The sequence below is a fragment of the Homo sapiens genome, chromosome 6 (assembly GCF_000001405.40).
Source record: "Homo sapiens chromosome 6, GRCh38.p14 Primary Assembly".
Lineage (NCBI taxonomy): Eukaryota > Metazoa > Chordata > Mammalia > Primates > Hominidae > Homo > Homo sapiens.
Window position 1 is genome coordinate 60,404,640 of NC_000006.12, and position 25,280 is coordinate 60,429,919.

The 25,280-nt window shown below is 37.1% G+C and overlaps 1 pseudogene, besides 3 other annotated features; it reads left to right on the plus strand.

Moving 5' to 3' along the window:
* Positions 1-25,280, plus strand: part of PRIM2BP (primase 2B, pseudogene) — a 264,192-nt pseudogene that overhangs the window by 123,202 nt on the left and 115,710 nt on the right.
* Positions 3,775-4,333: an enhancer, noted in NCBI's record as "H3K27ac-H3K4me1 hESC enhancer chr6:57380456-57381014 (GRCh37/hg19 assembly coordinates)". NCBI's record gives its function as "activates a minimal SCP1, AML or CMV promoter by ChIP-STARR-seq in naive H9 embryonic stem cells {active_cell/tissue: H9 hESC(naive)}" and the evidence as "EXISTENCE:reporter gene assay evidence [ECO:0000049][PMID:30033119]".
* Positions 7,158-8,071: an enhancer, noted in NCBI's record as "OCT4-NANOG-H3K27ac hESC enhancer chr6:57383839-57384752 (GRCh37/hg19 assembly coordinates)". NCBI's record gives its function as "activates a minimal SCP1, AML or CMV promoter by ChIP-STARR-seq in primed H9 embryonic stem cells {active_cell/tissue: H9 hESC(primed)}" and the evidence as "EXISTENCE:reporter gene assay evidence [ECO:0000049][PMID:30033119]".
* Positions 24,325-24,619: a silencer, noted in NCBI's record as "tiled region #9523; HepG2 Repressive DNase unmatched - State 12:CtcfO, and K562 Repressive DNase unmatched - State 13:Ctcf". NCBI's record gives its function as "represses a minimal TATA promoter and a strong SV40 promoter by Sharpr-MPRA in HepG2 and K562 cells {active_cell/tissue: HepG2 | K562}" and the evidence as "EXISTENCE:reporter gene assay evidence [ECO:0000049][PMID:27701403]".

Here is a 25,280-nt window from a genome sequence, read left to right on the forward strand (position 1 = left end):
GATTGCTTAGATGGTAATTTCAGTAGTTTCAGACATTTTAAGCTTGAGATACCCGTGGGGACCTATGTGGGGGATGTTTAGTAAGCAGTTCAATACAGACCCACAGTTGAAGAGTGAGGTTTACATCAGGGAGACATTTGCTAATCATCACTGTGCAGGTCTTGGTTAAAATAAAGGGAATGGTTGAGATCACCCAGGAAGAGAGTATAGAGAGACAAGAAAAGGGTGAAGGGTTCTGAATCGAACCCACAGAATATCAGTGTTTAAATGACTTGTGATGGGCAGTGCGGGAGTTGGGATATGAGAAACCGGTAAAAATATCAGGGAGGAGCCTTGAACCAAAAAGGATAGTGGTATGATGGGTGCTAATGGTATGGATACAAGTCCAAGTCTTATGAGGATTTGAGGAATAAATAAGAAATGAGGCTGTGGAGATATAGGGAATAGGCTACTCTTGGTAGAGCTTAATTCTGAGGACATGTAAGGAAAAAAGACTGCATCTGTGAGCTTCATGGTTGAAGAAAGTGTTTTATTTTTTCCTTAAGATTGGTAAGATGAGCATATTTACAGGTTAAGGCAGAAATGAGTAGTATGGGAGTAAGACGGACTAATTGAAGGGGCAATGTTTTAGGAGGGGTAGAAGGGGATAGGCCAGGAAATCAAACTGACTGGAGTTTAAAAAGTACTTTCCAATCTAGCTTTTTGGTGCATACTCAGAACAATCCAGTGTGGATGGTAGATGGTTATTTATCATAATCCCTATTTTACAGGTTGGTGATGGAGCCTCATGATGTTCTCATTAAGAAAACCTAATTTTTCTTTTTCTTTCTTTTTTTTTTTTTTTGAGACAAAGTCTCACTCTGTCGCCCAGGCTGGAGTGCAATGGCATGATCTCAGCTTACTGCAACCTCCTCCTCCTGGGTTCAAGCGATTCTTCTGCCTCAGCTTCCTGAGTAGCTGGGACTACAGGCATGTGCCACCACATCCAACTAATTTTTTATTTTTAGTAGGGATGGGGTTTCATCATGTTGGCCAGACTGGTCTCTAACTCCAGACCTCAGGTGTTCTGCCTGCCTCGGCCTCCCAAAGTGTTGGGATTACAGGTGTGAGCCACTGTGCTCACCGTGCACCAGCCAAGAAAACCTGATTTTTCTAATGAAAAATACTGCCTTTCCCTCTCCTCAAAAGAGATGAATTAATTATTTCATAAGACCATACCATTTTTCAAAATTGATACCAGGAACTTTTCTATTGGAAGAAATAAACTTACTTAGACTTACAATAATATGAAGTTTAGAGAGAATTTGTATAAATCATTATTTCTGCTTTCACCAAATTGCATATGATTAGATATGTAATCTAAGGAGCCTGCATCTCATTGTGGCTTTACTGTCATTCTTATGGTTATATATCACTGCATTTTCTAGGGTGAATTATATCGTTCACTGATTTGGTAGTTTGGAGATACATAAAGGTCTTGGAATATGTTCCCATGAATGTAGAAGTTTATTGTAAATAAGTATCTTTGCTATCCTAATGATGGTACCATGGGATAATATTTATAAAAATGGCATTAGGCTAGCAAGTGTGCATGATAAAGATGTTTATTTTTATTTATTATCTCACTTATAAATATGAAGTATAAATAGGTACAACTAGAGAGGAAAACTTGCAGCCCATATTATACATGTGATAACTTTTAGTTGTATGATTGAGAATTTTTCCCCCTTAAAAATAACACCTACAGTGTATGTATCTTCCTCCTTTATCCCTTGACTTCAAGATATGAAGTGCATTGGGGGACAGCATATTATAAGTCACTGTAATAGTTGCTATTATTGGCTGGACGCGGCGGCTTATGCCTGTAATCCCAGCACTTTGGGAGGCTGAGGCAGGCAGATCACTTGAGGCCAGGAGTTCGAGACCAGCCTGTCTCTACTAAAAATACAAAAATTAGCCCACTGTGGTGGTGCACACCTGTAATCCCAGCTGCTCAGGAGGCTGAGGCAGGAGAATCACTTGAACCTAGGAGGCAGAGGTTGTAGTGAGCCAGGATCGCGCCACTGCACTCCAGGCTGGGCAACAGAGCAAGATTCTGTCTCAAAAAAAAAAAAATTGTTATTATTTAATGTTTTGTCATTAAAGAATAACTCATTTTTAAAATGTGTATTTGTCACACCACAATTTTGTGAGCATATTTCAGCCCAAGAATGAATTAGAAATCAAACAAAGATAAAGCAAGCTAAGACAAGTATTACTTATAGTAAGTACTTGGACTGCATCATATGGATTAACTTTTAGTGCATACTGATTTTGCAAGCAGATGTTTATACAAACTGTTATTTTAAAATCATTTAAAGTAATAAAAGCATCTTCCTTCAGTTGGTATTATTACTACTTTTGTAAAATTCCTTTTCCGAAGGCAGTACATTTTGTTAATATGCACACATTTCTACTTATTTTTCTAAAGAATATGCTTTCACAAATTTTTTATCAGACATATAATCTCTGTAAGAAAGCTTTTCTTACTATCCAAAGTGGTACAGCTATCATTGTTTTCTTTTTGAATTAGTTCTCATTTTGAAATCAGAAATTGTGTGGGCATTCATGTGTCTATTGTGGTAAATATGAAAATAAACGCCAGAAAATGGTTTAGTAGATAGGGGCTTCATCAGTTGAGGGCTGAAATGAAAGCCTCATTAGCCTGGTCCACATGCTTCAGTTGTTTGTTAGCTCTTTCTCATCACCTGTTTCCAGTCTCTGGCAGTACCTTGAACATTTATTTCCTTTTCTACATGCAGCAGCACAAACTTTTAGTTCACTGATTATAGTGAAGGTTTTCCAGGTGCTGTGTAAGATATTAATAAATTAGAATATATTGTTTTCCATTGTCACCTTTGAATTACAATTTTTTCACATCTGTATGGAAAATGTTAATGCCTTCTTAGAGGTATACTTGTGAATAGTCAGCATTTTGTTAGAATCAGCCCGTTGTGTTAAGGGCACTATAATTGGTACTGATTATGTACAAAATAACTAATAGATGTGGTCCCTTAACTCAAGGTGCTTATATTTTTAAGGGGAAAGAGGACCAAAATTTATAAATAGTTTCCCCCTCCCCACCCACACACATACCCAAAGCTGCACCGGAATAGTTGCTGCAAGTTAAGTAGATAGTAAAGAGAGTGATAGGAAGTCTTATGAGAAGCAGTATCTGCATGTGGATTATGTTACAAATTTAATGTCATTTAATGTTTTTGGTAAAATGTATAGTCACAATATATAAAATCACCTCCCTCCCTAATGCAACCAACACTAAGCTTCTTTTGTGAACTTGATGCATACTTTAATTATAAAGTGGTTAACTTTTAAAATTTTCACTTAATACGTTATAACTAGGTAATAAAGTAGAAAATTGATTTTCATGACTCCAATTTTAAGTATCTGCATAATAGTCAATCAAGAATAGATATATCTACTTTTACTTAGCCATTGCCATTTTATCAGATATGTATAGCTTTTGGGATTGAATAAACCTGTGGCAAAAAATTATAGAATGTGAACAGTTTCTGTGTGTTCAGCCAAAGTAACTGAGAAGAAATACTGTAGTAACTTTATGTAGAAGGAATTGCATCATAGATGTTTTCCAGCAGATCAGATGGAGATAAGAACAAAGAACAGCAGCAGCCTAGGTGGTGTATAGCTTTGAAAATACAGGGAAGTTCATTAGTCTAAAAATGCCATCTTGCCCAAGTGAGAAAGTGGCAGATTTCTTAACAAGTGAACGAGTGACTTGAAATAGGTGGAATTGAGGAAGCCAGATGTTAAAGCTTATTAGCGTGTGTAGATTAGAGCCTTTATAGCCATTTTTTCAAACACTCCCTTAGAATATTTAAAAATCACTCGTGTCATATGTCTGTGTGCGTAAGTACATTGTATATATATTCCCTGATATTTAGCAATGACACTAGCATTTTTATATAAAGAAAATAAAAAGTGACCAGTGTATTAGTTTTCTATTCCAGCCTTAACAAATGCCACACATTTAGTGGATTAAAACAATGCCCATTTATTATCTCACAGTCTGTAGGTTAGAAATCGGACATGGGTCTTGCCAGGCTAAAATCAAGGTGTCAGCAAGGCTTATATTCCTTACCGGAGGCTCTGGGGAAGAATTTACTTCCAAGGTTATTTAAGTTGTTGGAGATCCTGTTTTTATGCTGGCTGTCAGTTGAAGCCTGGTCTTTCCTCCTAGAGGCTGCCCACATTCCTTCTCATGCTTTCCATGATTTCCTAGAGGCCTCTGAAGTCCTTGCCTGTGGGTCCCATCTCAGAGCCTTCCCATGCTTCAGATCTCTCTAACTTATGCTGCTGTGTCACACTGCCTCCAACCTGAGAAAGTTTTCTGCTTTTAAAGGCCCGTGCGATTAGATCAGACTACAGGGATATCCAGGATAATCTTTTCATCTAAGATCCTTAACCTTAATTACATCTGCAGAGCCCCTTTTACCATGTAACCTAACACATTCAGAGGACCCAGGAATTAGAGCATATGTGGAGGGTCACTGATTCGGCCTCTTATAGTGAAGGTTTTCTTTTGAGGTGGTAGTATGGAGTGAAAACAGCTTTTTGTATCACTTTTCATCAATTTTACACGTAAGTCACCATTCTTAATTTATGTAGAATACTAACGTTTCCTGGAGTTTTGTAGTTAATTTACTTTACTAGTTTAATATATCTTAAAGTTGAAAAAAGGTATAAGAAATGAGTTCTTAACAGAAATATAAAAAGTTACTGATTTTCTTTTTAATGCTATTGAAGGAAGATAGAAAAATCTTTCTTGTCTTATCAACCAGCTACCTAGAACAAGGCAAATAAACACTGCAGTAAATAGTAGACTTTGTAATGAGGTTACATATAGTGGCTGAGATGTACTGAGGTACTTTATGTGAGAGCTGTTCAGTAATACATGCTCACACACCTTTTAGCATTCTAAGAGTTTGTTTTATTTATTGTTTATTGGACACATATTAAAGGAACTCTTACTGGTTGCCTCACGTGATGTTAGGTTCTAGGGGTACATTTATTTCTGCCTTTGTAGGACTGAATAGTTATCAGTAAAAAGAGAAGTTTAACTAAAGTAATTATAATAAATCATGATGACTCTTGGCATAGTGGAGGTATGTGATTATATGAGAGCACGTAGCATCCTGGAAATAATGAAACTTTGCTTGTCACAGTGGTCTTGTAGCTTATCTCCAACCAGACATTGTAGATTTCCCTTAGTCCTCTGACTCCAAAGTTTCTCAGGAATTTCTGGATTGTGGATACAGGATACTGGGAGCCTTGTATGTATGCAGTAAGTCAAGAACCAAGATACTGCTGGAAAGTGAAATTTATGATTTCTTATGCTTTTTTAATAGTTTTAATATCTGCAGTTGTTAAATTTCCTATTCTTCACTCATTGGGTTTCTTTAAAACATTGATCGCTCTCTGGTTAAGTTACAAAGGAAAATTAGTGATTTTACACTGTGTTAGTCATGAAACACTAACAGTACAAAATAATAATGATGTTATGGGAAATAATATTCTTAAAAGGCCTGAGAAAGCATTGTGGCAGTATTGGTGATATATTAGCAACAAAAAGCAACTTGTTGAATGCTATGTAATAGAACTTTCTGTGATGATGGAAGTGTTCTATACCTGTACTGTTTAATCTGGTAGCCAATAGCCACTTACAGCTATTGAGCATTTGAAACATGGCTAGTGCTACTAAAGAACTGAATTTTAAATTTTATTTAATTTTAATTAATTAAAATTTTAATTTCAGCAACCAATTTTAGTTAATGGTATCTGTATTTGATAGTGTAGTTCCATATTGTATTGGAAATTTATTTAAATAATTACATATTTTTTAAAAATCATAGTAGTGGGGCTTAGAGTTTCAAATCTGAGGTAGCCCTGGAAAAGCTATATGTATGGAGCTGTTATAAGCAATTGTGGCCACTGAGGGTCATGAGGCTCCTAAGTCAGGGCAGCTCTCACATCTACTGGTGGGGATTTTGCCTCTGTACCTGAATGAGCTGTCCACCTGTGCAGGACTGTGGTAAGGATTCCATGGAAGAGGAATACTTGAAGCTGCCCAGCTAGCAAGCTGTGATTCCTGTCCTGGATCTTTCCAAGTAAACTGATGCCACAAGGGGTCTATGGCATAGTCATGTGAGTCTAAATGTTTAGTTAACCTAAGAGCACCCCCTGGCATTCCAGAACCAATTAACCTTTATTTACTCAGAGTAAACACAAAACAAAATTAATAAATTGAGCTGAGGAAAGGCAGACTACCAAGACTCACCAAAAGTTTAATGCACTCTCAATTGTTTCTAATTACTATTTGGAAAGTAGTGCTAGAAAGGATAATACAAGATTAATTTTAAATGCCCACTTTTAGTAGCGGTATCTTGGTTCTTGACTTACTGCATACATACAATCTACCAGGAACAGTCATCAAATGTGTACAGTGGTGGAAACAAACAAAAATGTGTATAGCGGTGCATCTTCTCAGGTCTTATTGAGGTGTGTCCTTAATCATCCAATGTAAAGTCACCCTCACAAGTGCTTTATAATATTTTCTCACTATGTTATGTTTTCTTCTCAGCAACATCACTAGTTGGAATGATCGTTTTAATTTGTTTGCTTGTTCAGTATTTTTTTGCCTAGGGTATGAGCTCCATTAGATGAAGGAATTTGGCCATCTTGTTTACCACTGTCTCCCCATTACTTATAAGAATGGCATAATAGGACCTCAGTAAACACTTGAATGAATGAACAAATGAATGAATGGATGAGTGAATTATAGAAACTGTCAGGTTAAAAAATTTTACCTTTAATTCCGTTTTCCAAGCTGCTAAATATTGAGACTGAATGAGATGGTAATTTGGACAAAAAGCTGATGGATTTTCTGTTATTTCCAAAGGATAACTATGATAAAGAAATGCTTTTTATCTTTGTAGAAATGTACTGCTGTTTTTATCTTTTGTTTTGGGACATAAGACTCTTCTTTATGCAATTAGGAACTAATCATGGAGGACAGAGAGTACTTTCTATTCCTCTGTGTGATCTCAGAAGTGCTCCCTCTTTTTCTTACCAATGACTTATTATTGGGGAACCTGCCCTGATATTCACGTAGGTTCTTTTCTATTTTCCTTAAGCGTCGGCCAGCTTGAGAAATAAAGGGACAGAGTACAAAAGAGAGAAATTTTAAAGCTGGGTGTCCGGGGGAGACATCACATGTCGGTAGGTTCCGTGATGCCCCACAAGCCGCAAAAACCAGCAAGTTTTTATTAGGGATTTTCAAAAGGGGAGGGAGTGTGCGAATAGGTGTGGGTCACAGACATTAAGTACTTTACAAGGTAATAGAATATCACAAGGCAAGTGGAGGCTGGGCGAGATCACAGGACCACAGGACCGAGGTGAAATTAAAATTGCTAATGAAGTTTTGGGCACCATTGTTATTGATAGCATCTTATCAGGAGACAGGGTTTTTGAGATCAACCGGTCTGACCAAAATTTATTAGGCGGGAATTTCCTCTTCCTAATAAGCCTGGGAGCGCTATGGGAGACTGGGGTCTATTTCACCCCTGCAGTCTCCACCATAAGAGATGGCTACGCCCAGGGGGGCCGTTCATAGGCCTACCCCCAGGCGCGCATTCTCTTTCTCAGGGATGTTTCTTGCTGAGAAAAGGAATTCAGCGATATTTCTCCCATTTGTTTTTGAAAGAAGAGAAATATGGCTCTGTTCTGCCCGGCTCACCGGCGGTCAGAGTTTAAGGTTCTCTCTCTTATTCACTGAGCAATTGCTGTTATCTTGTTCTTTTTTCAAGGTGCCCAGATTTCATATTGCTCAAACACACGTGCTGTACAATTTGTGCAGTTAATGCAATTATTACAGGGTCCTGAGGCGACGTCCTCCTCAGCTGACAGGATTAAGAGATTAAAGTAAAGACAGGCATAGGAAATCACAAGGTTATTGATTGGGGAAGTGATAAGTGTCCATGAAATCTTAATAATTTATGCTTAGAGATTGCAGTAAAGACAGGCGTAAGAAATTATAAAAGTATTAATTTGGGCAACTAATAAATGTCCATGAAATCTTCACAATCCACGTTCTTCTGCCATGGCTTCAGCTGGTCCCTCTGTTTGGGGTTCCTTACTTCCCGCAACAACTTATTCAAATGTTAACCACTTGTATTCAAAAACAAAACCAGCAACAAAACTGTTACATACCTTGCTCTTTTGATCTATGAAATGAAACCCTTAAACATTATGAGGCATTGTCAATGGCTATGTGAGACTGAAGTGGCGTATAAGGAAAGGATGTAATGTGACTGTTGGACTGTGACTTTTAATAATAATCCTCATTAACTGTTCCAGCACCCCCTACCAAAGCTCCCAAAACATTGTGGCAGTTAGTGGGGAACAAATGTGAGGGGATTATCCTAGAATGCCATAAATGTGTAATAGCTCATCTCAGTAACATTCCACATTGTGTAAATTATTTGTGGGGGAATGGGAAGACGTTGTCCATCATTTTAACGTATTAATTTTGCTGGATGTTGGAACTTTATTCCCTCGACCTCTCACTTTTTCATGACTAGCCTATTATGAATCCTTTCTTTATTGTAGTCATTTGACTATCCTGGACCCAACCCAAAACCAAAACCATCTGTATTTGGGTTCGTTATATTACTAGAATATATACTAAGAATATAGAGAGTAAAGGAACATAAAATTTTTACTCATGAAAATAGATATGTTTGTTGGGGGTCTTAAAGTTATATGGTGAAAATACCAGTGTAAAGCTGTAGTTTGAATATATGTTACAGGGGTGTATGTGTGTATTTTACTTTTAAAATCAATTTTATTGAGGTACAATTTATACACAAAAAATCCACCCATTTAAAGGGTATAGTTCAATGTCTTTTGACAAATGTACAGATATTTTTATAGAAAAATGAGATGCAACTTTCACTTATCTTGGAGTTCATTGGATTTTGGTTATAACTTGGAATAAATAGGAAAATATGGGCCACATGGGGAAGATGAGGGAAACATAAAATAAAATAGCAGTTGTACCATTTATAGTTCCTACCTGATATGGAAACCCGTATGGTTTCCATGGATATTTTAGCCTCTTGGAATCATACAATTTCTCCCAGTTATAAAGAAAAATAGATCATTATACTGCATGTTGTCTGATGGTAGTTTTCTGCGGAGACTTTTTTTTAAATAAAGTTGAATAAAATTTATGCTTGTGGAAAAATAATCTACATTCAACCAATTTAAAACAGAATTTTATTGATTGTGTTCTCATTTGGAATAACTGCAGGGAAAATCACCTGGGCTAATACAAGTTGGATATCATTTACTAGGGATTTAGCTGGAGAAAAAAAACCCAAACTCATTTCAATTTCCGTGGTGACAGCTGTTGACTGAATTTTCCTGTGATATCCTTCACTGCAGGAAATGATATATTGTAGCTTTGGTTCCTTTGATTTCCTACCCACCCAACAAATCCAAAGTGCAGGGACTGTGCTTTCTAAATGTCTGAGTGGCTTAGTTTATGTGGATAGGGTTTGTTTTTTTTTTTTTAACACCCTAAGTGGGTAAAATTGTGATTGCAAAAAATAGATATATGGGTAATGTACAGAAACATTTATTTCCTCTTTCTGAAATTGTTTTTCCATTTGTGCTATTATTACACCTGGCTTTATGTGAAAAGGCTGTATTGGAACTTGGTATACTTTTATGGAATGATGTAGGAGATTACAGTTCATTTTGAAAGATGTATTAGCTTACTTTTTAATGGTCCAAATAAATATGTTTCTTTGATGCAGAGATCAGTTTTGATTATTTGTGATGCTTTCTTCACTGCTTTTTTATTTTATGCTAGTTTAAAAAATATGATAAACTATAACCTGCCAGATAGAAAGGAGTAAATGGTGTTAACCTCTTTAGGCTTAAGAATACTGGGAAATGCTTGACAAAGAATGGAAATATGTTTTATATGTTATTGTCTTATGAACGTCAGAAACTCTGTCTGCTGGTGGGGAGGGAGGGCAGAGAAATACCCCCTGAGGATGAGGGAGGAATTCTTTACACTCTGGCTTAGGATTTTGCTGTAAGCCACATTTGCATCCTGTGTATTATGGCTTCTTACAAATGAGAGAAGAATGGACAGTTGCAATTAGGTATTGAGGTTGAGGTTGGCCAAGCAGCCCCAAAGCCTCGCAGATAAACATGTCACAGCTTTCTTTGTCCCCAGAGAAACAATTCAGGTTACCGCCAAGCTAATCAGAATTCAAGATTGCTTCCCTAATAGTATAAATGGCAAACTATGACTTAAATATAAAAACTTGATTCCCAAGTAAAATGTTGTAAAAACAAGCACAAGCACTTCCTTTAGTTGGCCTAATTGCAGCCTGTATTTTGTTTATGACTGGCAGAGATTGATCTTAGTGCAGCAAATAGAAGTCAGGGCAAGTCATCTGGCTATTCTATAGGTATACCTAGTCCTCCAGAGAACTATTTGATTGTTTTATGTCATTGTGTCCTCACTATACAATAATGCTATCCAGTAGAATCATAATGAGAGCAACAAATGTAAGCCACATGTATAATTATATATAATTTTTAATTACTCAGTGAAATTAATTTTGATAACATACCTTATTTAACTCTTATTCAAAATATCTTTTATTTATTTATTTTTTTAAGAGATGGGGTCTCACTCTTTTGCCCAGGCTCAGCTACTTGAACTCCTAGGCTCAAGTAATCTTTCTTCCTTAGCTTCCTGAGTAGCTGTGACTACAGATATGTGCCACCACACCCAGCTCAAAATATTTTAATATGTAATCACTATGAAAAATTGTGAATGAAATATTTTACATTTTATGTACTAAGTCTTTGAAATCCAGTGTGTACTTTGTACTTGTTGAACATCTCAATTTAGTTTAAGCTACATTTCAAGTGCTCAATGGTCACATTTGGCTAATGGATACTATATAACAGTAAAGCTTTATAAAAATGGATTTCATTTAAATCTCTACTGTTTAAGTTGAATATTTGTACTTCGGACACTTCCTAAAAATGTAAATATAGACTATAATGATAGACTCACAAAATCTTCCAGATATCAGGTTATTCAAGGACATCTAAATTCTCCTATTAATACTTTGAGGTTAAACATTTTATGTGATAGTATGAAGAAGGTTGGAAGGAAATTATTTTTTCTAGTATTCATAGGAAGAAATTGGCGAACGTTAAGAACAGAGAAAAAAAATCCAAAATGTTTAAGAACAATAAATTTAGGCCGACATGATGATGATGTTTATTACAATTTAAGTGAAAAATACTGTGATAAACACTACAGACATTTCATTTGTCCTCACAACAACTTTTTGAGAGCAGCACTTTTGTGATCTGTTTTATAATCCCTGTTTTACCAGTGATTAAGATGAAAGCAATTAAGAAATCTTTGCAAAATCACACAGATAGTGACTGTATGCAAACTTTTGCATGACTCTTGAATTCTGAAACTTACCCTCTTAATCACGCTTCTCTATTTATTGCCTGGTTCTTTTATGCCTCCATGATTGCCTTGGGCAAACTGGACTTGGAGAAATTATACAAATGAAGAGAAGTTGCAGCCAATTCCTAAAGTGTTGCAACTATTCCACTACTTCCTGTTTACTCTGTCAAATTTTCATCAGTAGTCTGAAAAGGAGAAAATGACTGGAGTTGTAATCACCCATGAAAAGCTGACTTTTGCCCTCCCATTTTGTCAGTAATGCCCTGTGGCATTTATATCACAGTAGTGGAGCTGGTGAATACCACTCTTGGAGCTGAGGTGTGATAATCCATCTTCTGCTAACAATCAGTGCCACAGCATGAAAAGATTATTATTATTTTTCTTAACCAGCTAATCTTGCCATGAGACCCATAAATCCACTTTCATGTAATTTCTGCTTTTTGTTTTCAACTCTGAGTTTCAACACTCAAAAACAATTCCCTGTTGAGTACCTAAGTGCTCATATTGATATTTGTGGTACATTGAACAGGACTTAAATTTCTGTTGTTTCTACAAAGTCCAGGAGTAGGTCTGCCTTTCACTACAATTCACAGATCAGATGTGTGCAGATGTATCTGTTTCAGATTTATCCTTTTATATATCCATGGTATTTTTGCGCTGTACATTAGATGTTTGTGAGACAGTATTTGGGGGAAACTCTAGTTTAGTGTGGATGTGATTAATTATGCCTTGCTGTCTTGGTCATTCCCCAACCCCTGCATTCACCAAAATTAGATGGATTTAATTGGATTTAAAATGGGATCATTTAAATTTGGTTGCGTAAATATGTGTTTTGTATGTTTTGAAAGTCTTAACCTTTCTCTTTTCAGCCTATAAATTATTGAAATTCTGTTAGCTTTATAATTTTCTGTTTACTGTGATTTTAAGCTATATTGGAAAACTAGCCATGCTGGCCTCTTATGTTTAATGAGCGAGATAATATGAGAGGGAAAAGTTCCTCAGGTGTGACTGTGTTTTAATTAAGTTTTACGTAAGTTTATTGAACAAATGCAACCATTAAAAGATGCTTTTGGCTGGGCACGGTGGCTCATGCTGGTAATCCCAGCACTTTGGGAGGTCGAGGCGGGCTGATCACCTGACATCAGGAGTTCAAGACCAACCTGACCAACATGGAGAAATCCCGTCTCTACTAAAAATACAAAATTAGCCAGGCATGGTGGCACGTGCATGTAATCCTAGCTACTCGGGAGGCTGAGGCAGGAGAATCACTTGAACCGGGGAGGCAGAGGTTGTGGTGAGCCGAGATCGTACCATTGCACTCCAGCCTGGGCAACAAGAGAAAAACTCTGTCTCAAATTTAAAAAAAAAAAAAAAAAAAAAAAAAAAAAAAGGATGCTTTTATATATTTTGTGTATCATGAATTCTCTTATAGCAGAATATATAATTTAAGACCATCACCTCAAAACAAAACAAAAACACCAGATTACTTTTGTGTAGGCAGAGTTTGTTATACACAATTGCAAAATTCTGTTTTCTTAGAAGGCACTATTATATGTACACTTAGGTGTTTAGAAACCTGGAGAAAACCTCAAATTTTCATGAAAACAGAAACTTAGCACTATATTATTACAAAGGAAATAGGACTTAAAGGGGTTTTTAAAATTATATTTTAATGGTCTTTGATTAAAGACCTATCTCAGGACCTGCCTAATTTCCTACCGAATTTCTCCCCCACCCCCTGCCCACCTGCCTTTGCTTGTGTTTTTTCTCTAACCTAACCTTTTCATCTATAAACTACTTTTTAGAAATTTTCTTGGCTTTGCTTCTCTTTTCTGCCCCTCCATCTGTTATGTGATAAGCCTTCAGATCCCAAGAAAAAGACTTTATTATTCCAAAATGCTACGCCCTTATCACATTCTTACTTTAAAACCCCTTCAACAGCCTTAATAAACTTTAATCACATACTTTTATGAACCTGGTCAAAATGTCAGAATGTTTTAATATATTCAACATTGTTAAACTACAAATGATAAAAATATTCAAACAACCAGGCCTTTGACTTTTTTTGTGATTATCACATCCTACTTCTAAACCTCCAAGCTTAAATTATTTTCCAACTACAATCTCTAATTCTTCCACTTTACTCCCTAGTTGCTCATTCCTACTGATTGTCATCTTCCTTTCATCCCAGACTTCTATTTCAGTTCCCCAAGATCACCTCCCCTTGTGGCTCTGCAGGCTTCTCTATTCAATCTAGACCTGTTGTCCGGTATTTCAACAACATTCTAATAACATTCTAGAATCCTGTAGTCTGTGTTTCTAAAGCATAACTCTCTCTATTCAGTGCCATTGTATTGCTCAAAAATCTTTAATGCTCCACACATTGCCTACCTTCTCCTCTCACCCTTCATTTAGAAGAGACCTCCTCTCTGCGGGCTTGAGGAACAATTGTTTTGAGCATTGTTGTGGCACTCATCACATTATCCTCCCTGGACTATGTCTGGATCCTTCACTGCTTGGACCCTTCCTTGGTCACAAAGGTGCTTAATAAGTGTATGCTGAGAGATAGGGGGGTTGTACAGGGATTCCTGAAGGGGTGTGTGTGGCGTTTTTTTATTTGTTTGTTTTAATAATTAGAATCTTTTACATCTAGATAAGGACAACAACTGGGATGTGGAAAAAAAGTGTCTTATAGAGAGAGAATCTGACAATCTAGTGATATTAGAAAAGTAGTTCGTCCTGGGTTTTATGCATTTATATGGTTCTGTTTCAGTAGTGAAGGTGTTTATTTTGCTGTTACAGTGCAGCAATTGTTACATTTTAGCAAAAATACACTATATCCTTTTACAATCCAGTGTCTTCAGATAGATTTCTAATGTAATTGAATATTCACTGAACCACATCTTTATTGTTTTCACTACTTTTCTATAACTTGAGAAAACTGATAGTTCACCCTTAATGCCTTTCACCTGATACTTTAGCAAATAAATTATGCATAGGGAGTGTAAGTAAATCACTGCAATTCCTTATCCATTACCACACATATTTATGGATGAAAAAAATTGATGCATAGCTTGCCTTGTCTTTTTCCTTTTAAACTTGTGGAAAATTAGTGGCTAAACTGAGAATTAAGGAAATCAAATTCAGATTTTTCAAGATTCTCTGATTAATCAAACATTGTCCTTTATATTTGGCAAAATAGTCATTAATGACATAATTTGAATTTTGTGACCCATTAAAATGTTCTTCGGTCTTCTATATTGAAAAAATGGTATTTGTGTTACATCTCACTGTATTCTTTTATGAAACATTAGGAGTAGGAAAGCTTTTATGCTTACTGAATCCCTTATTTAAAAAACTATGTTGGTGACAGTGAATGTCTCTCAAAATAAAGCTGTGAGTATTTTAAATGGACAGAAAACTGTTTTCTGCTGGGTTTGCATGTGTTTATAGATGTTGAAGCAATTAGAAATGTTTTTTGCATTTAAAAATGACTTTCTGTGTTTTCCCAATATAATTACTAAGACATGTTCCCTCATAAAATCGATCATTTTCAAATCATGAAAATAAGAATATATTTTGACAATTCATTAATATAGCAGCTTCATTTATTTGGCAGCAGTATGATAGAAAGCTGGCGCTGAGCTCTGAATGGAGAAGGGCGCGTCTCTTCCCTGGCTACCTGTTAGGATTCTCCTTTAGAACCATCTTTTGGCACTTCCAGGTAAAAGCCAGTTTCATGAGCCAATGTGAATTGCTTTTAAGGGTTTTTTTATGTTATGGCAGCATTATTTGTTTTTCTTCTACCTTGATTTTTGAGCTTCTGTCAATGTTTCATTATTATGAGGAAAAAACCATTCACCTGGAAACATTGTAAAGATGAGTGAAGAAAATTTATTATCAAAACTTGTATTTTCATAATTTCTTTGTAAGTTTATTCCTGAGTTACAGTTTTATTGTTTAGGCTAAATAGTTTTTATCTTGTGGAAAGTGAAATCTTGGCTTGGAAGCACTCAGTCACTCAGGCTAGAAACTGATCTGTTATTCTTGACTTTTCTACCTCCTTCATCAAAGCATATCCATTCTTTTCCAGAAAATTTCCTGAACCCATCTATTGCCTTCCTTTCTCCATCGTTACTACTTTACTCAGGCTCTCACCTTTCCTCGCCTGGATGTAACATTGCCTACAGTATTCTTCCAGTTAGTTGCCAGTCCCTCCCCTTTCTAATTATTTCCCCACACTGCTTTGTTTCTCAAGTGTAAACTGGATTATGTCAGTTCTTGCCTCACATCTTTTCATGATTTTTCACTGCCTGCAGAGCATGGGATACAGGCTTCTCACCATCTGCCTTTCTTGTGTTGTATCTAACAATCCCCCTGCCCCCCAGCTATCCTTAACTAGTTCAAATAGGTTTAAGTAGCTGTGATGTTTATTATCACTTCCTCTAATGCAGACATAAGTAAGCCTTTCTGATTATAGATGAGTAGAGGAGAAATGTCATTCCTAATTCTGATACTTAACATCTTCATTTCTATCATATTCATCCCCACCCCCATGGGTTCCATACTTGCCCACACTAGGCTGGTGGCCTTCTTTCTATTACGTATATGTCTTTTTCATAGAGTTTTTATTTTTTATTTTTGAGACAGGGTCTCAATCCCTCATCCAGGCTGGACTGCAGTGATGTGATCATAAATCACTGCAACCTCAAACTCCTAGGCTCAAGCAATCCTCCCACCTCAGCCTCCTGAGTAGCTGAGACTGCAGGTGCGTGCCACCACACCCAGCTAATTTTTTTTTTTTTTTTTTTTTTTGTAGCGATGATGTCTTGCTATATGTTGCCCAGGCTGATCTCTAACTCCTGGGCTCAAGCGGTCCTCCTGCCTTGGCTTCCCAAAGTGCTGGGAATAGAGGCATGAGCCACTAGGACTGGCCAAAAATATTTTTAGAAGTTTGATGTCTACACAGTTTAAGTCTACTTATATTCTCTCTGTAGGCATTTATACCAATAAAGTCTTTGCATTCATCGTTGCTAGCATTCTCTTGCTTTTTTTCTTTTTTTCCTTGAAATTTAGCCCTTTTGTATATTCTAGTGAGGTGTGGAAGAACAAGCATTTTATACTGTCATTTAGGCAAATGTATATGTCCTCTTTATATGTCTTCTCTTTGTACTTAGTATAGTATGCATTAATCTGGGCTGAGAACAACTTCCTTGTGGCAAAGTAATCATTTGGCTTCATTTACTCAATAACTATAATTCTGTTTGTACATCATTTTACCATTTATAGAGGCCTTTCATATTTGTTTATTTGATCTGAACCAATCCTGTTACATCATTGTAATCACCACCTTCAGCTGATAGACTAAGAAGCTGAGACTTATAAGGGTCAATGGCATGGCCTAGTACTTCCCAGCTGGGTGATGGCTCCTCTACAGGATCATGCTATTGTCTCTCTTACAATCCTGTTATTTCTGTACTTACTGGTCAAGACTGCAATTGCTCTTTGTGCTGGAGTATGCTTTACTGATTTTAATTAGCACTTTGGATACATTATTTCATTTGATTTCCCCAGTATTTCTGTTAATTAGGCAGGGCTGGCATTATTAGTGCCATTTTACAAATAAGGATGATGCAAATCAGAATGGTTAAGTGACTTGTCCCAGTTTGCAGAACTGGTATTTAAAGAACAAAAACCAGCCGGACGCAGTGGCTCACGCCTGTAATCCCAGCACTTTGGGAGGCTGAGGCGGGTGGATTACGAGGTCAGGAGGTCGACACCATCCTGGCTAACACGGTGAAACCCCGTCACTACTCAAAAATACAAAAATTAGCCGGGCGTGGTGGTGGGCGCCTGTATTCCCAGCTACTCGGGAGGCTGAGGCAGGAGAATGGCGTGAACCCGGGAGGCGGAGCTTGCAGTGAGCCGAGATCGCCCCACTGCACTCCAGCCTGGGCGACAGACAGAGCGAGACTCCGTCTCAAAAACAAACAAACAAACAAAGAAACAAACAAACAAACAAACAACAAAAAAAAAAAACCAAGAACGTGTCTTCATACTCCTAGCCTACTGCCATTCCCAATGCCCCATGCTGCCTCTTTGCTCTACTGTAAGACATGTTGGAAAAAGAAATAACATTTTTATTCCTGAGATTTCACTGAAACAATTATCTGGTTATGCTGTGTACTAAAGTCTAAAACATTAAAGTTAAATGGCAGCTATCAATTTAACTTTGCATGAGTTTTATATGCCATTGTGCTACTGCAATTAATGGAATGCACAGAATCCAATAACACATTGTCAGAAAGGTGTTACTCAAGGGAAAGATAATTCAAGGCAAGGGAAAATAATACAAGAGGAGATGTGTTTTAGGATATGGTCTCATTGAAGACCATATCCTATTGAAGAAGAATTTTTTCTTCAAGCCCTATAGGTTGGAAAGGACCCATGTAACAAAAGACAGATTAATAGGAGAAAAACAAACAAGTTTATTAACATTTTGTATCAGTTTTCTGTGCTTATAACAGAATATCTGAAATTGGGTAATTTATAAAGGAAACAAATTTATTTCTTACAGTTATGGAGAATGGGAAGTCCAAGGTCCAGAGGGTGTACCTGGTGAGAGCTTTCTTGCTGGTAGGGACTCTCTGAAGAGTCTTGAGGTGGTGTAGGGTATCACATGGCGAGGGGGCTGAGTGTGTTAACATGCCAGCTCAAGTCTCTCTTCCTCATTTTGTAAAGCCACAAGTTTCCTTCCCATGGCAACTCATTAATCTATTAATCCTCTATCCATTAATCCCACATCTCAATACTGCCACATTAGGGATTAAATTTAAACATGAGTTTTGGAAGGGACAGATATTCAAACCATAGCACATGTGTGTGCTATGGAAGACATATGCATGGAAAACATCCAGAAAGTAAGTAGTTCTCAAAAAAGGTGCTTTCAATTCAAGTTTACATAGCAAATTCAACTAAGAGCAATACATTTCTAGAGAAGTGACATGGCAAAGGAAAAGGACTTTGAGTCTCTGGTGGCAGCAACTTGTGAGAAGGCAAATAAATGGCAGATAATGACCAGTTGGTAAAGCTTGTTCATATAGTTTCCTCTGGTATCATCTCCACATAATAAGAATCTGAAGTTATCTTCACTGATCAACCTTTGTTCTCACTGGTAAAAGGTGGGCAGGATGACTTTTGTCTTTGTAAATCTGTGTTTTGCTTTTAGGCAGATAGAGGGAGGGCAGAGAGCTTTCCTGAATCTGCTTCTTCTTAAATTGCCTTCGCTCAATAATCCTTCATATTTTGGGGGTGGCATCTTCTGGTTTCCCTCAGTATTAGTCTACCCATTCTGCTCTCAGAGTAATTCTCAGGTCCTTCTTAGCCTGTAGAAGGAGGACTTGCAGGGAGGGGAAATCTGTACCTTTTTTTTTCCTTTTTTTTGATACGAGGTCTTACTCTGTCACCCAGGGTGGAGCATGATCTCAGCTCACTGCATCCTACACCTCCTGGGCTCAAGCCATCCTACTGCTTCAGCCTCCTGAATAGCTGGGACTACAGGCACACACTACCATGCCTGGCCAATTTTTGTATTTTTTGTAGAGACAAGGTTTTGTCATGTTGTTGCTTAGGCTAGTCTTGAACTTCTGGGCTCAAGCCATCTGCCTGCCTCAGCCTCCCAAATTGCTGGGATGACAGGTGTGAGCCAGCTATATTTTGGTTTTGCTTCATAATCCATACCCATTGTTTAATCAGTAAAATTAATTGATTATGGAAACAACAGCCTATCTACAGAGCATCTTGAGCGTATATGTGGTTCAGCAGGAAGAATCTGTAACTGAGCAGATAGAAAGTAGTATCTGGATTTTTTGTTTGTTTGTTTGTTTTTTTGAGACAGAGTCTCGCTCTATAGCCTAGGCTCGAATGCTCAGGCATGATCATGGCTCACTACAGCCTTGATCTCCCTGGCTCAAGCAATCCTCTTACCTCAGCCTCCAGAGTAGCTAGGACTACAGGCATGCCACCATGCCCAGGTTTCTGTTTTTGTTTTTGTTTTTTTTAATTTTTATTATTTGTAGAGACAGAGTCTTACTCTGTTGCCCCAGTGGAATTCTTTATGATCATAATGACTCTTCACTCCAGGGTTTCCCTTTAGTTGTGGTATTTGTATAATCTTTGGTTTGATTGTGAATTTCTATGTAATCTAGCATCTGTTTTTTGCTATGTCACACCTGCATGCACCTGAGTCTGTGTTCATGGAGTTGGGCATGAGTAGTGTGTTGTGTGAAGGAGGTGAAACATTACTGAGGTGGGTGGCTTAAGGTAGTATATACCAAGTTATGTTTCCTAATTTGAAGATAATCATGCAGGAAAATTTATTATAAGGAAGAGGATGATATGGTGCAGTGAAAAAATGGGGAATTAGGAATCAAAAGCTTTGAGTTCCCACTGCACTGCTGACTTGCTTTCTGATCCTAACAAGTTTCTAACTCCTCCAAGCCTCCATTCATCAAATGATATACAGAAATGCTCTTTCAGGGGGTTGCAAGGATCTAATTAGAGGCTATTGAAGACTCTTTGTACACTGTAAAATGCTATTCAGATATTATTTATTTTAATAAACAGTGATTGCTTTATGTCAGGCTCTTTAACAAAAATTCTTACAATTCAGACCTCCTATCAACACTGCAAAGCAGGCATTATTATCGCCATTAGTCAATAAGGCAACTGGCATACAGAAAGTAACTAAGTAACTTGCTCACATGCTACTTTTAAGTGATGATTCCCAATTTAAGTTCCAGCTGCTTTTTTGCTATGTTGTCGTGCTGTTAATAAAGGATAAATGGTAGAGGTTTGAACTTTAACAACAACTTGGATTATGCTTCTAAAAAAATGGAAGTGGCGCTCTAGACTAGGAGTCAGGAGGTTCAGACTGTTACTACATTTTTCTATTATTTTGGGGTAAGTTACTTAAATTAATTTCATTAAATATGTTTAAAACACTTGGCTATGTTTCTGCTAAGGTTTACATGTAAAATGCTTTCTTATTTTAATCATTTTCAGAATTTAAAAAATTTCCTTCGAAGGGATCAAAAGTATTTTATGAATCTGTTTTAATATTTTTTTTTCTTTTTTTAAAGTCATTCCTACACTAGCCAAGATTACAGTACCCAGGGAAATGTTGGGAAGATTTCTTTAGATCAGATTGATTTGGTAAGTAGAACATTCTTTTAAACTTAGAACTGTATCAATGGAGGGAACATAGATTTTCTTAAATCAAAGACTTTTGGGTGAGGAGATAGAATATTATTTCACTGCTTGCTGATTAATTTTAAAGAAAATCCCATGTCCTACTTAGATGATTTTTAAAAAATCATAGGAAAATCATTTAATCAGAAAATTATCTGTACTTTTATGAAAACAGAATTTAATCAACGATTCCAAACAGGAATTCTTTTAAATAGCTAAATGGAGTTTGTGTTTACATTTAAATACTGTATACATTTAATAAAGGGGAAATGGAAAACACTAAGTGTATTAGTTTGTTAGGGCTGTCATGACAACAGAAATTTATTTTCTCACAGTCTAGAGGCTTGAAATCCAAGATCAAAGGGATAGTAAGTTTGATTTCTTCCAGGGCCTTTCTTGTCTCACAGATGGCTGCCTTCTCCTTGTGTTCTCCTGTGGTTTTCCCACTGCTTGCATACATCCCTGGTGTCTCTTCTTTTTGTAAGGACACTGAGTGTGTGAGACCAGGGCCCCACCCCCATGGCCTCCTTTAATCTTAATGAGTTCTTTAAAGGCCCCATCTCTAAATATAGTCACATTTGGAGCTACTAGAGGTCAGGACTTGATATATGAATTTCAGGGTGAGAGGACAATTCATCGTCTAGTGTAGGCTACGAGATTAATAGATAGCTTATTTTAGCATCATTTGACTTTGTGGTTCCATAGGGTAGCGTACTTTGCCATACTTGTAGAATTTCTCTTTAATACATAACAGCATTTGCACTCCATACACAAAGGGAAAATAAGCCAGCCATAAATAATCTTGGGTTAGACGATTACCAAATTATTCACAAGAAATTAAAAATACACAGGGATTTTAATGCTTGGAAACAAGAACTGTAATAAGACTAGTAGAGAAAGACCGTGAGTTTGGATCAGAATGAATAGGTCATCTTCCATTTGAAAAATTATAAAAAAGTACTTGCAGTTAATATGTCTAGAAATAACAATAGGGTTGCCTACTTTACACAGTTGATTTGTTGATTTGAAATTTGTTCTCAAAGATGTCCCATCTTTTAATTTTTTTATTAAACACTTATCTCTAACAGTCCCCTTTCTCACTTCCACTCATGTGATTTGTGCTTATATAATGTGAATGGTTGGAGGTTAATTCTGTTCTTAGTTCTAGCTAGATGTTTCCCCATTCACAAGCAAATGTGAATTTGGTTGGATACTGTTGGAGTTCATAGAAATATTAATTCATTTAATGGATATGTATTGAGCCCATCAGTTATGTAGCAGCCATTGTGCTGTGGATACAGAAGTGAGGAAAACAGAAAATGTCCCTGCCTTCATGGACCTTACATGAGGGAGAGGGACAACATAATAAATAATAAATGAGCAATATAATGTTAAGTGCTATGATGATGATCTTGTCATGGGTCTGTGCCTGAGACCCCGTGGTGAGTAATAGAGATGTATCTTTTTTTGGACTGCCTCCTAACTCTGTATCTATATTGTTTGATCTTCACAACAGCATGTCATTTGCATATCCCTTGGTATTTGCAACTCTTCTCCAAATGTTTTCTTTAGTTTTTTCTTCTAACAAATCTGGCTTTCTCAATGCTGTTTCCCCTGTGGGCCTCTTCAAGTAGAGACAACTTTCCCCCCGAGTTCGTATATAGGTATGCGGTGAGTGTCTTTCTTGTTCCACATTTCTCTGCCTTCCATTGTTACAGCTCCAGCTCCTTTAAAGCCCTCGTGATCTTATTATATCATCTGATACCTCCTTTGTTGCTATTCCACCCCCTCCCCCCACACCTGTATTCGTTGATGATTTGAACACCTAGCTAATGGTTTTGTGTACTGGCGCTATTCTTGTTATTGTTCTTGGCCTCTGCAAGATCCAAGTTGATAATTTATCCCCTATCCTGGACTTATGATTCTTTTGTTTGCTTGTTTTCCATGATCATTTTTCTATCTGTATATAGCCAGACACTATCTTTTTAATTTTTATTATTTGGACTACTGCCCACACCTCTTAAGTATCCCTCCTGCTTCCATTCTTACTCTCATATTGTCTTTTCACTACGTAACAGCCAGAGTTCTCTTTGTTTATTGAATCACATCAGTCTTCTGGTCAGAACCCTCTAGTGGGTTTTCATCATATGTAGACTTAAATCCAAACTCATGTTGTGGCCTCTGAAGCCATATGTGCTCATCATTTCTATTTTATCTTCTGCTCCATTCCAGCTCACTCACTTGCTCTGGTCACATGGATCTTATTCTCTCTTTTAGCACACCACATTTATTCCTTCTCAGGATCCTCATTTCACTAGAATCCAACTTACTTTGTCTTACTTGAAATGCCATCTCCTCAAAAAGGCTTCCCTGGCCACCCAAATGGAAGTACCTCTCCCCTAATCACACTTGATTTCATTTCTCTTATTTCATTTCCAGTGTTTTGGCATCAGATGTTATCTTTTTAATGTCTGTATTCATTGTCCGTCTCCTCCTATTAAAAATAAGCTCTTCGAGGACAGGGTTTTTGACTTCTTTGTTCACTACTGGTTCCCCAGGGCTGTACACATAGTCAGTGTTAAATAGATACTTGTTGATTGAATGAATAAGAAGTAATCAAGGAATGTGCCAAAAGAAATAGAAATTGAGTTGGGTCTTGAATGATGATTTGGCTTTGGCTACATGGCATGTGCATGAGAAGGGTGCACCAGGCAGGGCTAGCAGAGTGAGAAAAATGAGAAGCTACAGAGCATGACTGCGTGGTCATCGGATAGTGAATAATCCAGTGGACTGGAGCCGAGGACTCATTTTGGTGTAGTAATAATATACTGGACTTTCCCGGGCTCCCTGTCACAGTGCTTCTGTGGTGCTCAAGTTTTGCCCTTGTTGGAGCCCTCATTTTATCATTTATTTCATGTGTTTAACTTACATAGTAGTGAATATAGTAATTGTGGTGTCTTTTTCCTTAACTGAATTAAAGGGGACAATTAGGTCCTAGCTTATTTTCCAGAACACTTAATAAATAATTGTTCTGTTATGTATAATTGAAAAGTAGTTATTGGCCAGGCGCAGTGGGTCATGCCATCTGTAATCCTAGCACTTTGAGAGGCCAAGGTGGGAGGATCACCTGAGGTCAGGAGTTCGAGACCAGCCTGGCCAACATGGTGAAACCCTGTCTCTACTACAAATACCAAAATCAGCTGGGCATGTTGGCAGGCACCTGTAATCCCTGCTACTCAGGAGGCTGAAGAAGGAGAATCGCATGAACCTGGGAGGCAGAGGTTATAGTGAGCCGAGATGGCACTGCTGCACTCCAGCCTGGGCAACAGAGTGAGATTCCGTCTCAAAAAAATTAAAAAAAGAAGAAAAAAAAGAAAAGTAGTTACCAGATATTGAGGAAACCTTGCATGTTCATACTAAGGATGTTGAATATTGATTGTATGGATTAGAACAATGTTTAGAAAAAAATCAGATATTAATATGAAGCAACAAAAATGGTCTCATGAAAATGAGCTGAAAGGCTTTCTAGTTAGTTCTACCAAGGGAGGATATAGGTCTGAATGAACTAGACTGGGGATGGAAAAATTCAGAAGTTGTTACTGTAAAAGAATGAAGAGAAACTAGATGGTCACTAGAGGGAACAGCAAAGTCAAGCAAAGTGAGACCTGCTCTTTCTTATAGATGAAGTGAACTTGCTAAGGCATATGTGAGGGAGTAAGAATTTAAGTCTTGGGAGAATATTTAAGGAAGTCATAGAGAATGCAATTGAAACCATAAGTGAAAAATTAAAGTAAGAAATGATATTTCATTTTTAGCACTAAGGCACTAACTATACTTTGTTCCTTTTAACTTGGTTTCTTTAACATATTTATTTGAATTTTCCTTATGAGAAGTTTCTCTTATTTTTGTGTTCTGCTTTGTATTTGAGTTATCTTAAAAGTTCATCTGCTATTCAGCAATTGTACTTTTATCTCAGGGAAATGAAATCTTATGTTCACATAAAAACCTCTTCAAGAATGCTCATAATAGCTTCATTTGAAATAGCCCAAACTGGAAACAACCCAAGTGTTCTTCAATGAGTGAATAAATAAATTATGATACATTCATACCATGGAAAACTAGTTAGTAATAAAGAAATGAGCTTATATACAACTTAGATGAATCTTGAGGGAATTCTGCTGAGTAAAAAATGACAATCTCAAAACAATACATATTATATGATTCTATTATACTCTTGAAATGACAAAATTATAGAGATGGAGAACCAGATCAGTGGTTGCCAAAGATTAGGGAGCTGAGGGAGGGGAGCAGGGTGCAAAAGTTAGATGGGGGTGGTTATAAAATCATGAGAGATCCTTGTGGTGACAGAACTGTTCTGCATCTTGACTGTGGTGGTGGATGTATGAACCTACATGTGACAAAATTGTATAAAATTTAATACGGA